Source organism: Homo sapiens, chromosome 5 (genome assembly GCF_000001405.40).
Source record: "Homo sapiens chromosome 5, GRCh38.p14 Primary Assembly".
Lineage (NCBI taxonomy): Eukaryota > Metazoa > Chordata > Mammalia > Primates > Hominidae > Homo > Homo sapiens.
This window is the reverse complement of record NC_000005.10, coordinates 66,280,190-66,298,216: the sequence shown is the minus strand read 5'-3', so window position 1 is coordinate 66,298,216 and position 18,027 is coordinate 66,280,190. Positions and strand designations below refer to the sequence as shown.

At 41.0% G+C, this 18,027-nt stretch overlaps 2 long non-coding RNA genes across 2 annotated transcripts in view; one reads left to right on the top strand and one right to left on the bottom strand.

The window, feature by feature from the left end:
* Positions 1–5,803, bottom strand: part of LOC124900988 (uncharacterized) — a 34,365-nt gene extending 28,562 nt beyond the window's left edge. Inside the window, exon 1 of the long non-coding RNA XR_007058792.1 lies at positions 5,587–5,803. This is a non-coding gene — a long non-coding RNA (uncharacterized LOC124900988). The remainder of the gene's footprint in view (positions 1–5,586) is intronic.
* Positions 136–17,568, top strand: LOC105379004 (uncharacterized). The gene is made up of 3 exons (XR_948385.3): positions 136–178; positions 15,869–16,022; positions 17,507–17,568. It is a non-coding gene; the product is annotated as an uncharacterized LOC105379004 (long non-coding RNA).
* The last annotated feature ends 459 nt before the right edge of the window (positions 17,569–18,027 follow it).

Here is an 18,027-nt window from a genome sequence, read left to right as displayed (position 1 = left end):
TTTGCCTCCCTAATTCATTTGGAAATACCACTATCTTTAAAATTTCTGTAAATTTTTCACATAATTCAAAATTATCCTCTGTGGTGAATTCCTTCAAGCAAGAATACCTTAATGTAAATGATCACTCTGGTATTATGGCAGTCACCTTATCACCCCCGCATACTACATCTGAAACCAGGTAACTAAAGGACTCTTTCCCTCAAGCATTCTTTCAGCCAATATTTATCATGCCCGTTTAGAATCTGCCTCAGTGCTAGAGCTGGCTGGGATGGAAAAAGTTCAGAACAAGGTTCTTGCTCCTAATTTAATGTCAAAACACTATCCACATACTTGCGATGGTCGATTTTATGTGATTTAGCTGGGCCACAATGCCCACATATTCGGTCAAACATTATTCTGGATGTTTTTGTAAGGGTGTTTTTGATGAGATTAATATTTCGATTGGTGGGCTCTTAGAAAAGCAGTAACCCTCCATAATGTGGGTGGGCCTCATCCAGTCAGTTGAAGGCCTGAATACAACAAAAGATCGATCTCCCCTGAGCAAGAAGAAATTCTGCCATCAGATAGCCTTCAGACTTGAACCGCATATCTGCTCTCCCCTAGGTCTCCCCTGGGTCTGCAGCCCAAACTGCAGATTTTAGACCTGCCAGTCTCATCACCATGTGAGCAGCCAATTCCTTAAAACAAATATTTCTAGATAGATAGATAATAGACAGACAGAGAAATAATAATAGATGATAGATAGATAGATAGATGATAGATAGATGATAGATAGATAGATAGATGATAGATAGATAGATAGATAGATAGATGATAGATAGATAGATAGATAGATAGATAGATAGATAGATAGATAGATAGATAGTAGATAACCTCCTATAGGTCTGTTTCTCTGTAGAATCCTAATACTGCAAGTGATTATTGAACCATGCATGTCACAAGTCTAATTAGAAGTGACAAGGAGTTCAGGGGAAGAGGCTGGCAGAGAGGAGGAGAAAGAGTTTTCAAAGATTAAAAACTGAAAACTGTGCCTTAAATAAAAGAGAGGATTAAAGCAGGCCAAGAAGAGGAGGAAGGGCACGGGCAAAGGAGGAAAGGTATCAAAGATAGTAACAACAGCTGCTGGATACCGAGCAACGCCTCTGTACCAGGGCCTGTGATCAGAGATTTACATTCATCATTTTATTCAGTGCTTATGGAAACCCTACAGATGGCTGAGATCCAAAACACAGACAACACCAAATGCTGGTGAGGATGTGGAACAACAGGCATTCTTATTCATTGCTAGTGGGGATGCAAAATGGCACAGCCACTTGGGAAGACAGTTTGATAGTTTCTTACAAAGCTAAAATAGGCTTGTACTTTCCAGCAATTGAGTTCCTAGGGTATTTACCCCCATGAATTGAAAACTTATATCGACACAAAAACCTCCACACAAATGTTTATAGTACCTTTATTCATAATTGTCAAAAAACCAGAAGTAACCAAGACACCCTTTGGTAGATTAGTGGATAAGCAAACTGGTCCATATTTATAATGAAGTGTTATTCAGAAATGAGCTTTCAAGCAATGAAAAGACATAGAGGAATTTTAAATGCATATTCTAAGTGAAAGAAGCCAGTCTAAAAAGGCTACCTACTGTGATTCCAACTATATGCCATTCTGGAAAAGACAAAACTATAGAGACAGTAAAAAGATCAGTGGTTGCCAGGAGTTGGGGAGGAAGGAAGGGAGGAATGAAGAGATGGAGCATGGGGGATTTTTAGAGCGGTGAAACTGTTCTGTATGATACTGTGATGATGAATACATGACATGCGTTTGTCGAAACCCAGAGGAACTATGAAATAGGAAAGGGAGAGAAGGGGTATATGAGAAATTGTACTTTCTGCAAAATTTCTTCACAAACCCACAACTGCTCTAAAAAATAACGCTTATTAATGGAAAATTTTATAACTCTAGGGGATAGGTATTATCCCCATTTTACAGGTAAGAAAACTGAGGTAGAGGCATAAATAACCAAGTTGATACAACACTACTAAACAATGGCAGCTCCGGGCAGCAAATGAAGGAGGTTCTGTGCTCACCCTCACTTCCTGCTGAGGATGCAGGGGGCAGGCAGAGCGCTCCCACTCTCTCTATCTCTTGCACAAATGCTCTGTGTCCCCACACCAGCCAACAATTAATGCCTGCCCTTTCATCGTTTTTCTACATGTCTCTGTTTCTCTCTATTTCTCCATTTAATTATTTATTTATTTATTTATTTATTTTTGAGACAGTCTCACTCTGTCACCCAGGCTGGAATGCAGTGATGCAATCTCAGCTCACTGCAGCCTCCATCTCCCAGGCTGAAGCAATTCTCATGCCTCAGCCTTCTGAGTAGCTGAGATTACAGGTGTGTGCCACCACACCTGGCTAATTTTTGCATTTTTAGTAGAAACGCCATGTTGACCAGGCTGGTCTCTAACTCCTGGCCTCAAGTAATCCACTTGCCTCCGCCTCTCAAAGTGCTGAGATTACAGACGTGAGTCACTGCACCCAGCCTAATAATTCTTATATATGTCTTGCTCTTGTTATCCATCTCTGAAGCCAGCACAAGGCCAGTAAAGGTCTGGTAAATTACCTGAATCTATTCAGGGTCCTGACACGGTCAACAGACACACAGATTCTGACTGTAGCCTTCTCATTAAGCTTTTGGGTGTTTTTACGCTGCTGAGACCTCTTCCTACGCCCAAGGTTCTGTTTGGCCTCTGAACATCAGATACCCCCAGGGTGGCCAGTTCATCACCCACTCTTGTTTTTCCCAACACTGAAATGGGGCACACAGCCCTCGACTTTATTGGAGTATGATGGAAGTACACTAAACTGTGCATATTAGAGTGCACAATGTGATCAGTTTGACACATGTACAGTACTGTAAAAGCACCACCACAATCAAGATAACAAACATTTCCACTGCCCTGCAAAATGTCCTGGTACCCCTTTGCCCCGTCCCTCCCTCCACCCCTTCATCAGGCAATCAGTCTCTTAGCCACTTTCTAGCCCTATAGATTGCTTCCCATTTCCTAGAGTTTAGATAAATGAAGTCATAGAGTATGGACTGTTATTCTGGATCTTTCACTCAGCCTAATAATTTTGAGATTCATCCACATTGTGCATATCAGTCCTGCATTTTATTTTCTAGCTTTTTTCTTCTAGTTTATCCATGCTCCTGTTCTGGACATTCATTTCAGTTTGGAGCTATTATCCAGAAAAACTGATGTGAATATTTGTGTACACATTTTTCTGTACACATGTTTTCATTTCCTTGCATAAATACTGAGGAATGGAAGGGCTATTTCGTACGGTAAATATACATTTAACTTTTTAAGAAACTGACAAACTGGAAGTGATTGTACCATTTGACATTTCCACTAGCACTATGTGAGAGTTCCAGCTGCCCAATACCCTCTCCAATGCTTGTTATGATCAGCATTTTGTTCTGCTGTTTTATTTGTTTACCATTCTAATGGGTGTAGTGTGGGGGTATCCCACTATGGCTCTATTCACGTTTGCTTACTAACTAGTGATGTTGAGCATATTTTCATGGGCTTATTGGCATTTGATATATCTTCTCTGTCATGTTTATTCAAACCTTTTGCCCATTTTCTTATTGGGTTGTCTTCTTATTTTTGATCTATAAACATTCTTTATATGTTTTAGATCCAACACTGCATATTTCTGAGAGGGCCAGACAGACAGGGAGGACCTAAGCTGGCAGGACTCTCTAGCGTGGTGCTGTGGGATCTCCCTCCAGACTGGGGTCCAGCCCTCTGCCTCTCTGTGTACTTGGGAGGATGTGGCTCAGCAGTGCTGTTGAGCCCCTCACAGGCTGTGGGAATGCACCAAGGAGAGAAAGTGTTTCTGCTACATGTCACCTGCAGGCTGTGGCCACGGAGGTCTCTCTCTCATGGTCAGGATCTCCTTCCTCCTACCTCCTAACCCCAAGGCCTGAGCACCAAGACGCCACTGCCCTGTCTCAGCACCGCAGGCCCAGGACTTGAGCGGGAGCCCGTGGAAGGCTTTTTGCTTGGAGGAAACATCTCAAAGTCCTGGACTAAAGGCTCTGGACATCTAGAGCAGTGTTCTCTGACTGTCGCGTGCATGGGAGCCACCGGGGAGCTTGTGGTGCAGGTTCCGCTTCAGGAGGTCTGGGTTAAAGTCCAAGATGCTGCATTTCTAACATGCCCCAGGCCATGCTGATGCTGCTGGTTCTGGGACTACAGGTTGAGAAAGGAGGGTCTAGGGCAGGTCTCAGAGCGAGGACCACCCATCAGCAGCAGCCGCACCCCCTGGGAACTTGTAAGAAATGCAAATTTTGGGGCCTGACCCCAGATGTGCTGAAACTGCAACTCAAGGGTGAGGGTCTGCGGTCTGTGTTTCAGCAAGCTCTCCAGGCGATTCTGATGTCTGCGAGCACTTGAGAACCGCTCTGCTGGACAACGAAGCCCATCATCACTTCTCCTACCACCCGACCTGCGTGTCTGAGAGCACTCAGATGGTGGGGGGCATGGATGGGGGCAGGGATTTATTTGTCCCCATATTTCCATACTAGAGGAAGTCCACATAAATGGAGAGGTTTCAAAGTAAGAAAGAAAAGTAAGAAAAAGAAAGGAAAAGAACCTCCAGTGCCCTGCCTTTTCCTGACCTCTTTACTGCTCTCCACAATACACTTTCCTGCTTTTTGCAGACCCCCAGTTAGAGAATAGAGGGACTTTGTGCCCCTGATAGCACATACCTCGCTTGTTCCCTCACTTCCAGGCCTCTCCTGGGATACTCCCTCTCCACCCTCCTCAAGTTCTCCTATCACAGCCCTTTGCCTGGCATTTTCCAGCCGTCCTCAGGCTGCATGTCACCTACCCCACTAGACTGCAACCATCTGCTCATTTATCTGTCTCTCCTACTACCTGGAGCCACATGGGTGGGGGGTGGGGGACAGGGGCTGTCTTGCCCCACAGTTCTTTACTATGTAAATGTTAAATGAATAAATAAATGGGAAAGAGCCAAAGGAGGAAGTAACCATGGACAAGGAAGGAAAGGAGCACTGAGCTCAAGCTGGACAGTCCAACCCAGACATTTTGCAGATGAGGACATTTACAGAAGGCAGCAGTGTCATTGTTATCTCTCCACCACTCTCTGTCCACTGCCTCCCAGGATCCAAGAGTCTAGAAATCTTAACAGGCACTGATCTTTTCTCAAAACTATGCCAAAGCCTAAGCATTTTTGTTCTCACTCATTTATGCCTAAACTGAAGCTAGGTAATAGTCTTCCTCCCCACCAGGCATGGATGCATTCAGAGAACACCAAAGCACCTATGCCTGAGGACAAATTATTATACTTTGTCCACAGGTGGACACCTGAACAGCCTCCCTTGCTCATCTAAAGAGGCTGCTCACACATTTGTTTTTAATTCTCTAAATTCTTCCCCACCTGCGAATGTAGACATCATTACACACTATCAACATTTAAACTTATTTTGCTCATTTCCAAAGTAGAGAACAGTTTCTATCATTCTAAAATACTAAACACAATAAATTAACAAGCACTTACCCAGTAGGCACCTACAGAGTCCCCAAGGTTGTGGGAACTAGAAAGTCTAAGGAACAATCAGGAGACTCTCAACTTAGTGCTTATATCCACTTCGGAAAAGACCATTTCTTGCCTTGACTGGCACATGATTCATCTGTCACCTAATTCTGATGTCCATCCAGGCATTAAATGGATTTTAGTCCTTTTAACCGAAAAACTTTCTGCCACCTCATTCATTATACCTAGAAACCAAACACAAAGTGGGACTTAATAATTATTTGTCATGGATGATGACGATTTCAATCTGAATGCCTATGGGATTACTGGAATAATTACATACTGCTGGGCTTCTGAGAAAAATTGAGCCACTATTCATTCTCTGGTGGGCTTCTCTGCCCCAGCAGGACTATAGGCCTTTAACATAATAAGAAAGGCTGAAGATGGGGCTCCCTTAGCGGCCTATGGTCATAAACAGGAATCAGAACCATTGACCTGGGGGTGGGAGGTGGTGCATGATCAGGCAGTGGAGATAAGGTACTGAAATTGCTTTTAGCCATTATTGTTTGCTGCCCTTCATATTAGAAAATGGTGTGTTTGGAACTGACTGCCTGTGCCTGTGTAGGAAAGAAGAAAGACATAAAGATGTGACAAACTGCCTTGCTGCCGCACTGAGCTCCCTGACAGCTAGCCTTGGGTGGCACCAGTAATTCATGCAAACTGTGAAGGTGCAGTGGTGAGACATTCTGACATAACTATCAAAATAATGGTAATTTCAGTTCATCTGTTCATAAAATGGATCTTTTTTATTTAAGAAAAAAAGCCAGGAGGCATAACTTAGAGGCATGAATCATTTTCTTAACAAAGAGTTTACACCTATAATCCCAGCATTTTGGGAGGCCAAGGTGGGCAGATCGCTTGAGCTCAGGAGTTCAAGACCAGCCAGGGCAACATGGTGAAACCTTGTCTCCACAAAAAATACAAAAATTAGCCAAGCCTGGTGATGTGAGCCTGTAGTCTCAGCTACTCTGGAGGCTGAGATGGGAGGATCCTTGACCCTGGAAAGTCAAAGCTGCAGTAAGCCAGGATCACACCACTGCATTCCAGCCTGGGTAACAGAGCAAGACCCTGTCTCAAAAAGAAAAGAAAAGTTTAAAGGAGAAGGATATTAACATTTAATTATTGGATGATCATTATTGGCATCTGGAGTTGTAAGTGAGATGTAGAAAGCATCTCATCTCCTTTAAATTTACAATAGTCCTACAAGGCAGACAAAACGTGCAAGGTAAAAACTGGCAATCTACAAGTTAAGTGACTAACCCACTCAAGGGCCCATACAGGAGGGAGGCCAAGATATGCCCCAGCCTATCTCACTCCCATGCCTCAAGGAAGCCTGGCCAGAGGCCAGAGTTGTGGGATCTTGACGTATAAGATTCTTCATATACATACATATATACATATATATTTATATATACACACGCATACATGTGTATATATACACAAACACACACACGTATGTGAATACATACATAAACTCTAAATATATAGGAAGGATGATGGTTGATCTACATTAATATAACATTTAAATACACTTTTATTTGTACTGCTAAAAACATGTACAAAACATAAGATTTGTACATCTTATAAAGCAACATCACAGAGTTTTATTTTTGTAAAAGGCATATATACTATATATTGAAATGGTTTGGATGTTTGTCCCTCCAAATCTCATGTTGAAATGTGATTCCCAATGTTGGAGCTGGGGACTGGTGGGGGGTGATTGGATCATGGGGGCAGATCCTTCATGAATGGTTAGCACCATCCCCCTGGTGATGAGTGAGCTCTGGCACAGTTAGTTCACATGAGATTTGGTTGTTTAAAAGAGTCTGGGACCTTCCCCTGCTCTCTCTCTTGCTCCCACTCTCACCATGCGACATTGCTCCCTGTCGCCTTCTGCCGTGAGTAAAAGCTTCCTGAGGCCTCACCAGAACCCAAACAGATGCCAGCGTCATCCTTCCTGTATGGCCTGCAGAATTGTGAGCCAATTAAACCTTTTTTCTTTATAAATTACCCATCCTGAGGTATTTCTTTATTGTGACACGGGGACAGACAGACACACACACACACACACACACTCTCGCATATGTGACTAGAAAAAAAGTCTAGAAAAATATACAGCAATGCTAGGAGTGATATCTCCAAGACAAGAGATTATAAACAGTTCTTATTTTATTCTTTATACTTTTCTGTAACTTTAAAAAATAGATGTAATGAGTATAAACTACTTTTTCAATAAATAATTAACTTCTAGGAATATAAGCTTAAAAGGGCACATCAGAAAAACGGGACCTAAGGATTTTGCCCTTGGTAAATTCCTGTTCCTGATAATTTTCCCTAAAACATTTAGTATGCAATCTAATCTGTTCCATAAAAATCATTTTTTCATTCATTATACATTCACTCATTCAACAGGTATTTGTTGAGCACTTACTATCAATATATACCAAGTACTAAAGTGACCCCTGCTTGGGGATTCTGACCTTCTGAATCAGAAGAGGGGAATGAAAGAGGTACAGTTATTATGCATGTCACCCTATGTCATAAACAGAGGTATCAGAACCATTGACCTGGGGTGGGAGGTGGTACAACATCAGGCAGTGAATAAAAGGTATTGAGAGCAGAGAACAAATTTGCATTAACTTCAGCAGGGAAAGACTACTTGGACAGAATTTTGTCTTCACATCTACAGGATGAAATGGCGCCAGAAGCTCTGTGTGGACCACCAGCTTCTCGATCCTGGAGGTGGAGAATGACAGGGCTGGCAGAGAGAGGTAGGCTTGGGAAGAGGCCAACCTGAGGACAGATGCCCGGAACAGACGAAGGCCACAGGTTGCCCAAGAAACTCCTGCCTTCCTTCCCTACAACCTATCCTCATGTGGTGCTGCCGAAGCTGCTCTCAGCCTCTCCTTCCAAGGGTTCCCTGGGGAGCAAAGAGGCTCTCACTGTGCCCCATGTTAAGCAGAATGTCGTTCACCGTTATCAGTCCCAGGGGAGAGGAATCCCACGCACTGGTTACCAACCCCAAGGCAGGATTTCTAAGACCAAGAGAATAGCAAAGACGACCACTATGCCAACCACCAGGAAGAGAAGTCCTAATACTTTGCCCATTGCATTATGGTGCTGGAGTCGCCAAGGAAAACAGGACGCAGTCAAGCACTGGATGGAACAACACTTTACTTACACGGAGAAGAGATATGGCAAGAGCTGCTTCAGCAATGTGTGCCAGTATCCCATGGCCAGTGGATCTCTCCTGACAGCCCACACAGAGCAATTGGCTATGTGTACCCCTGCCACAGTATACGGACCTAGTCCCCTCCCTGTGGAGGAAACATACAGCTGTGGGGTTGGCCCAGTGCCATGTGATGCACCTGCCTAAGCAGGACAAAGGAGCATACATTGGGCTTGCAACAGGGAAAGATATTTCCACACAAGCCAATACACCCAGCGCAGGCCGTGTAGCTCTTTATCTTTTGGTAGGGAAGTGTTCCAGGACCAAGGTTTGTTCTTTTTTGTTTTACAAAGATATTTTATTTTATTTTTAAACTTTTATTTTAGATTCAGGGGGTCCATGTGCAGGTTTGCTACCTGGTGCATTTTATGATGCTGAGGTTTGGAGTACGATTGAACCTGTCATCCAGGTAGTGAACACAGTACCCAATAAGTCGTTTTTCAACCATGTATCCCTTCCCTCCTGCCACACTTACATTCCCCCGTGTCTATTGTTCCCATCTTTATGTCAATGTGTACCCAATTTTTAGCTCCCACTTATAAGTGAGAACATGCAGTGCTTGATTTTCTGTTTCTTTGTTAATTTACTTAGGATAATGGCCTCCAGCTCTATCCATGTTGCTGCAAAGGACATGATTTCATTCTTTTTTAGGGCTGCATCATATTCCACGGTATATATGTAACACATTTTCTTTATCCAATCCACCACTGATGGGTGCTTGACTTGATTCCATGTCTTTGCTATTGTGAATAGGGCTGCAATGAGCATGTGAATGCAAATGTCTTTTTGGTAGATCTATTTTCTTTTGGATATAAACCCAGTAATGGGATTGCTGGGTCAAATGGTAGTTCAACTCTTAGTTCTTTAAGAAATCTCCAAATTGTTCTCCACAGTGGCTGAACTAATTTACATTGTCACAAGCAGTGTGTAAGCGTCCTCTTTACTCTGCATCCCTGCCAATATCTGTTTGGGTTTTTGTTTGTTTGTTTGTTTTACTTTTTAATAAAAGTCATTCTGACTGGTGTGAGATGGTATCCGTGGCTATCTTCATTTCTCTGATGATTAGTGAAGTTGAGCATTTTTTCATGTGTCTGTTGGCTGCTTGTATGCCTTCTTTTGAAGTGCCTGTTCATGCCCCAAGGTCCAATGTTATGCGGCCAGGACTGTGTGAAACTGCCTTTCAGCACCCACTTCCCTGCCTCCATTTCCATGCACATTAGAACAGGGACCCCATTATAGGACATGGGTTTATGAGGTCATTTCTGTTGGCTTTCTTAATAAAAATAAATGTGTCCACTGCAATCCATACTAGAACAAAATTTGTTTTAAATGAGACAGGGTCTGGCTCTGTTGCCCAGGCTGGAGTACAGTGGCACAGTCTCAGCTCACTGCAACCTCCACCTCCCAGGCTCAAGCCATCCTCTCACCTCAGCCTCCCAAGTAGCTAGGACTGTAGGTGCACATTACCACACCCAGCTACTTTTGTATATTTTTGGTAGAGATGGAGTTTTGCCATATTGCCCAGGCTGGTCTTGAACTTTTGGGCTCAAACAATCTGCCTGCTTTGGCCTCCCAAAGCGTTAGAATTACAGGCATGAGCCACCGTGCCTGACCTAAAATATTTATTTCTTCAGGCATTTTGACTCAAATTCTTTGAAATTTATAGATTTATTTTACAATCAAAGATGGGCTAGGTGCAGTGCCTCACTCCTGTAATCCCAACACATTGTTTGAGCACAGGAATTCAAGACCAGCCTGAGCAACATAGGGAGGCCCCATCTCTACAGAAAATTTTAAAATTAGCCAGGCATGGTGGTGCACACCTATAGTCCCAAATACTTGGGAGGCTGAGGTGGGAGGATCACTTGAGCCCAGGAGTTCGAGGCTGCAGTGAGCCATGATCCCACCACTGCACTCCAGCCTGGGCAACAGAGTGAGACCCTGTCTCCAAAAAAGAAAAAGAATCTAAGGAAACTTTCAGAAATAATTTGGAAAGACCAAAACATGGGGTACCCACAGAAGACTAATAATTGGAAACCCCTTCACGTGATAAGAATTTGTTCAACATTCCCTAGCAGGCATGAGGAAAGGCTAATAGTCTATGAATAAAAGCTATAGACTTCTTTCTTTATGGTCAAAATAAGGGATCTATCATGTGTTCTAAACATAGCAATCAATCTTATATTGAAATTGTCTATCATTTTGTAGTATTTTCTTTAAAACAGCTATGAGTTGGTCCTACACAGTCACAAAGGATAATCTCACTCACATCCATTCTCTCCAACTTTTTTTCACATTATCCACACATAGAAAATGATAATATTTGTAGAAAAACCTCTATGAGTTGGTCCTATACAGTCACAAAGGATGACCTCACTCACATCCATTCTCTCCAACTTTTTTTTCACATTATCCACACATAGAAAATGATAATATTTGTAGAGTACACTGAGGTAATCTGGGGGAGGTATGGGTATATCTCTTTGGAGCTTGGTGTAAAACACCTCGTGACTTTTTTTTGTTTTATATGCTATAATGATAAAAAATTAAATATAAAATATTAAGAAAGATGTTAAATATCTAATTTGAATATTACTTTCCCAGCAATTTTTACATTTTTTAAAATTAGAATTAGAAACTCAAGTTTGCTTCCATGAACGTTAACAACCGTAACTTTCTTATACCAGATTTTAAAGCTGAAATGGCTGCACACAATTTGTGATCAAGAGTTTTTAATGATGATCCTTTAAGTCTGTGAGTCACATCAATGAGAAATTTTGTTCTCATAATTATGATAATACAAATGTTTTAATCATTTTTATAACTTTTGAAAAATTTATAATGGTTCAAATTGTATTTTAGAAATCTAACCACTCTTTTTTCCCCATTGGCCAATATCATAATGAAATATTTTTAATGATGAGAATAGATTTATAATCCAATAAACTTTTTCACGTCAAGTATTTCAAAACAATGATAACACTCAAACAGAGGGCATGAATGTCATCCTTCAGGGTGAATCAGCTGCAGATCAGACAAGGGCAGCCATCATATGTATAGGAGGTGGAATAATAGCCCACTAAAGATGTCTGCTGCAGTCCCGGAGACCTGTGAATATGTTATTTCACATGGTAAGGGACCCTACGGACGTGATTAAATTAAGGAGCTCAAGCTGAGGAGATTATCCTGATTATCTGTGTAGACCCAATATCACTACAAAGGTCCTTCTAAGGAAAAGTGGTAGGCAGGAGAGTCAGGCAGAGAAGATACAACAACAAAAACAGAGGGCAGAGTCAGAGAGAGACTTGAAGATGGTGGGCTATTGGCTTTGATGCTGGAGGAAGGGGCCATGAGCCAACAAGTGTCCTCTAAAAGCTAAAAAAGGAAAGGGAACGGATTCTTCCCTAGAGCCTCCAGAAGGAATGCAACCTGGCCAATACCTTGATTTTGGTCTAGTGAAGCCCATTACAGACTCTGACCTCTAGAACTGTATGATAGTAAATCTATGTTCTTAAAAGCCACTAAATTTATGGTTATGTGTTACAGCAGCAATAGACAACTAATACAGAGAAAGAGAGACTAAAATACATACAGAGAGTGACTAACTCTGAAACAGGACCTGGAGCTGGGCCCACAGGAACCATATACAACCTCTACCCCTCCCACATCCAACCATCCGCTCCTTACACACCAAAACCACAAATTCTCCAATAGCTCCACAGGACCCTTGTCCACAACAGGCAGCATCAATGTACTCTGCCGCAGGCAGCTGCTCAAGTAGTCTCTGAGTGGTAGAGCACCATGACCTCCCACAACACATCAACCTAGAGTCATAAGTGCTGGCTGTTGCTCATCACACTTGTCACCCAGGGGCACCACAGAGCAGTCACAGACTCTGCTCCACTCAGGCTGCCCTCCAAGGAGCCCCATATGAGGCTGCTCAGGAGCTCCGCCTCTGCAGGCCCTGCCCAACCACCTTGAGGGCTGAAAGGAACAATATCTTGTAGCACATGTGTACCCACCTGTGACGTCCCAGTAATAAACTATTGAGAATCTCTAAATTCTATGACCACTGTTACAAAGTCTAGGATAGAGCAATACACCATAGTTTGTTTACTTCCAATTTCTCAGCTGAACTTGACCCAGACTTCAGGCAATCATCAGCTGGCAGGTCTCAGAGTTGGTGGTGCAATCTGCATTTGCACATGAATCTTGCCCCACACAGAAACACATATCAAAATAGATAGAAATCAAAACAGGTTACCGTTTATTTCAATAAGAGAGAAATTTATACTTCACCAGGTTTTTAAGAAGCCCTAATTAACTGGCATAATATTTCTCTTTTATTCCAGTGATGTTGTAGTGCTTTTTATAGATTGTTGCCTTGGTGTGCCTGACCCTTAATCTGGTTCTGATAAATCTCATTTCTCTTGTGTGAGAGAGAAATAGACAGACATGGTGAAGGAGAGAAAGAGCAAGCAAGCCTGTTTTCCAGTGAGGTGGGACAGCTCATGAAGACATTCTGAAGTTCCCAAGGTCAGATCACCTTGTCATCCCAGGGCTGACACTCAGCCAGCATGTACTAAGACAGCTGTGCCACTTGTGTGCCTCTGTATTGATTCATTAGGGTGCCATTTGACTGGTTGGTGTTTGCACTGCCAGTTGTTAAATAACCTTAATATAACCCTTATTGGACCATTTGCCTGAATATATGGCTATGTGGTAACACTAGGGAACCAAGTTTTCAAGGACTCTGACATGAGCATAAAGAAAGGAGAGATGACCAAAGAAAAATTGTTGTGGATTTGAATACATCTGCAAGAACATATTAGATATTCCAAGTCATAGTCATAATTACCCCCTAAAGAGGTGTCTAAAAACCTTTAGACCTGTTTCTCCTTCTAACAATTAGGACTTTCTATCCCCTAGTGCCAGTCCTCTGTGGGCCTTCCACAACTTGTCAAAGTCACTCCTCTGCAAGCTATAAAACAACTGCATTTTGTGCCTTTTTTTCCTCTGAAAATGTAAGGAAGGGAACAGGAAAGTCTGTAAAACAGGAGATTGTAGCCCTGTCTATCTCCTTTCTCAGTTGTGTTGTTCTCCTTGCAACACTTTTGTCTGATGCTTTCCAAAGCTCCTTTGAACAATTTATGCAACTTACAGGTTAACACCTGGGCTCAGCTGCCCAAATGCCTTACCTGTGGCCAGTATGATAAACCCAACAGGCAGCATTGTCAGGGATGAGCCTGGGCACAGCCCACAGCCCTCCTGCACTCCTTTCAATCTGGGCCACACTTGTCTTTGCCATCTGAGTCTGGGCAATAGCAAACAATTTCACCCCCCCGGTAACACTAGCCTAAACTATGCCACACATAAGACCCTCGAGGGCTCAGGCTGGTTTCTGTTTTCTCTTGGGTCCCTTTCCTCATGAGCCTGATGGTGACAGACCAACTTACAAGAACACCGAATTGCAGCAAAAGAATACACCTCTGCAGGTTTACAGCTGGCAGGAGCCACATCTTCAATCTGCACAGGCGTCTCTCCTCACCATCCCACCATGTCAGGCACACACCACTGCCAAAAGGAATTGGTAGACACCCACTTAGACAGAGATCTGAAAATTGAGTAATGGAGAGTAATTTTCTTGAGGAACAAGGTATCACTGGAGCCCATAACTCAAAATGAAGAGAATGGTGGGCAGAAAGCACTATATTTTGTTAAAATACACTTGCTTTATCTTAGTTTTCTCAAAGAACAGTCAAGGGCCTAACACCTTCTTAAGAAAGTCACATAAGCAGATGGCTAATATTTCCACGTCAAGTGAAGACATTAACCTGCCTGTGCGGGGCCTGCTTCCTAACAATTGAAAAGTGGCAAGACACCAAAGAGCCAAAGAGTGAAAAGGTTTTCAGTTTGCAGACCTCCCCTTCCTCCCATGGAATGAGAGAGCACAAATGAAACACTAAGCAAATACTTCATGAAGAAGAAGGTGACATTTGCTTACCACAAGGGAGCATAAACATCCTAATCTGATGAAGAAGAACCAATGAGAAGATACTTAGAATGGCCTGAGTTATAAATTAAAGTGGATTAAATGCATATGGATATAAGTTACAGATAAGTTATAGAAATGGACGATTTTAGGAAAAGATTCATCCAAGAAATAGTTTACTAAGAGTCTAAATGTGGCACAACGTCAGTCCTGCTAATCACTAGATATACATGACAACTGTTTTAAAGAGAGAAATTAGGGTGATATTTCCTGACATTTTTTAAATACAGGTTTGAAACACTAGCACATGCCAAAAATCTTATTTTTTCCTAGTTCCTCAACTTTAAACTGCACAAATGGGGCTAGGCTAGTGGTGATGGTTGATCAGTGCTCTGAAGAGAAAGACAGCTTAATGTATCTAAGCAAGTCATGGGCTGGGTTCTATAGAAATCCAACCAGTTATCCTTTAGGCATATCACATATATTTTTTACTGGAAATAAAGTTTTATCACAAATGAAGCATTGATACAAACTATATTCCAATTTATATGAAATGATACACAATTTTGAAATGCAATTTAAAATAAATACAAACACCTATTTTAAATAGATACAAATATTCTCTGTATTTAAAACAAATAGTGAAGTGGTCTATCTCGGCAAGGAGGAATATTTTATCACTGACATTGTTTAGAATTGCCAGTGCACGTGATAATAAAAAGCAGACTGACATTTAGCCAGTCTTATTATTGATCTTAAACTTCTCTTTTGCTTGTCCCTGGGGCTGACCATTCCCCATCTATTAATATGCCACAACCTTACCAACTGCCTCAAATCCTTTTTGGAATGAGATGAGTATAAATGAATGAATGCAAAACACTTAGGAATGAAGTAGACCTAGAAAATATATTTAGAAACTTAGAATGCCATGGCCTATAAGAAATCTTATTTAAACTATTCTAATAAATCTACAACTACTATCAATCATTCCTTAATCATTTTTCCATTTCTCTATTTTGCTTTAGGAAGACGTAGTTAACTCTTCTCACAGTCAAGATTGGACAGTGATCCTTCCTCAGAATTTTGACAGAGCCCTGCTGCAGCCTTCCCAATACAGACTTCGACTGAACTTATTTTGCACCTGGGGTGATTGCCCCAGCCCTGCCACCAGCAGGCTCAGTGAGTGCAAACTCCTGCATAATAGCTGTTAACCCAAAAGAAGATAATAAGAATCTAAGTTCTTCAACTCTTAGCCTTTATCAAGGATTGCAAACTCAAATGCACAGAGCCACACAGGTCATTTAAATGAGTGAAATAATCAGAGAGTGGTGGGATGATGACATACTGGAGACTTGGACAGGGTGTGGATTGGAAAATGTTCTTGCACTGTGCCAGATCACAAAGATATTGGTGGTGGTGGTGGTATCTTATTTTGTTTCAGTTTGTTGTGTGTGTGGTTTTTTTTTTAATTGGGTGTTTTATTTTGTTTTATTGTTTGGGGTTTTTTTTTGGGTTTTTTTGGTTTTTTTCTTGCTTATTTAGGAAATTAAATTTTGTTTTTTATTTTGCTTTCACATTGAAAGAAATAATTTTTTAATTGGGGGAGGGGGCAACTCTGCCTCCTCATAAAGTTAGAAGATCTATTTACAGCCAGGCAGGGTGGCTCACACCTGTAATCCCAGCACTTTGAGAGGCCAAGGCAGAAGGATCCCTTGAGTGCAGGAATTTGAGACCAGCCTGGGCAACATGGTGAAACCCTGTCTCTATGAAATATACAAAGTAAAAATTAGCCAAGCGTGGTGGTGCATGTCTGTAGTGCAAACTACTCAGGAGGCTGAGGTGGGAGGATCGCCTGAGCCCAGGACGTTGAGAGCCCTGGTGGCATCACTGCACGCCAGCCTGGGAGACAGAGTGAGGCCCCACCTCAAAAAAAAAAAAAAGAAGAAGAAGATATATTTAGAAACCTCAGAATAACCATTGCCTATAAGAAATCTTACATAATCCATTCTAAGAATAGTTGTTCTAGTATTTTCTTAATGATATGCAGAGAAAAGATTCCATAAATTCCTAAATGGAACATTCTAATTAAGGGTATAATGAGGCTCTGGGATGATGCTTATTTCCTCCATCTGTACTTGCAGTTTTTATTTCCATTTAGACTCAAAAGTTATTTAAAGAAGTGTTTTATAATTTCTACAATTGTTTAAATTTTCTGTTTTATTAATTTTTAGTTTTTGGAAAATTTGCTTACTTTTTTTGATCTATTTGAAGTAGTTTTAATTATGTTTTCATGGATGCTGGAAAAGTTTTTTTATTTATATTCACAAACCAAATTTTATACATAAATTCCAGAATTATTCATTGTAAATTCTACAATAGCAATTATATGTTACAAAGTAACTTTTATTATTGATGTTTGAATTCTCTTTCTACTTCCAACAGCAATTGTTTTGTGTATTTTAAAGCAATATTATTTAGTTCATAAAGGTTCAAGACAGTTATATATTTTTGGCAAAATATTATTTTATCAATATAAAATGCCTCGTAATCTTGTTTAATTTGTTCCTTATATTCTACCTCATATTTACATTCCTTCTTTGTTTTTATATTATCATTATATACCTATCCTTTTATATTTAAACATTTGCTTCACTTTGTTTTAGATCTATTGCTTCTCAACAGTACGAAGTTGGATGATGTTTTTCGACCTAACATGAGAACATGGAACCTATTTCTTTAAGTAAGGATAATTTATTTCCTATTCTATGTTTTATGTTTTACTCTCTAGATTCTTTGTGTGTGTGTGTGTGTGTGTGTGTGTGTGTGTGTGTTATGTTTATTTGGTTGGTTTTTATATTATCCAGGGTTTTGAAAATCAGCTTTTTAATTCCACTAAATAACTTTAAGTTTCTGAAATTAATTCTTTAACCATAGATCTCTTTCAGAACTAATAGATAATTGTATTTTTTTCAGTTTCACCTATTAGATATAAAGAATTAAGTACATTCTCCATATCTTCCATCCACTTTAATTTTTACATTTATCTGGTTTAAAATCTAGATTATTAATAAAATCTCTTGCGATTGTAGGACATCTGCACTCTGCTTTTTTTCACCCCAATTCTGCTTTTGCTGCCTTTAATGTAGTTGTTAATTCTGCAGTTGCCTTCTAGCTATGAGTCAAT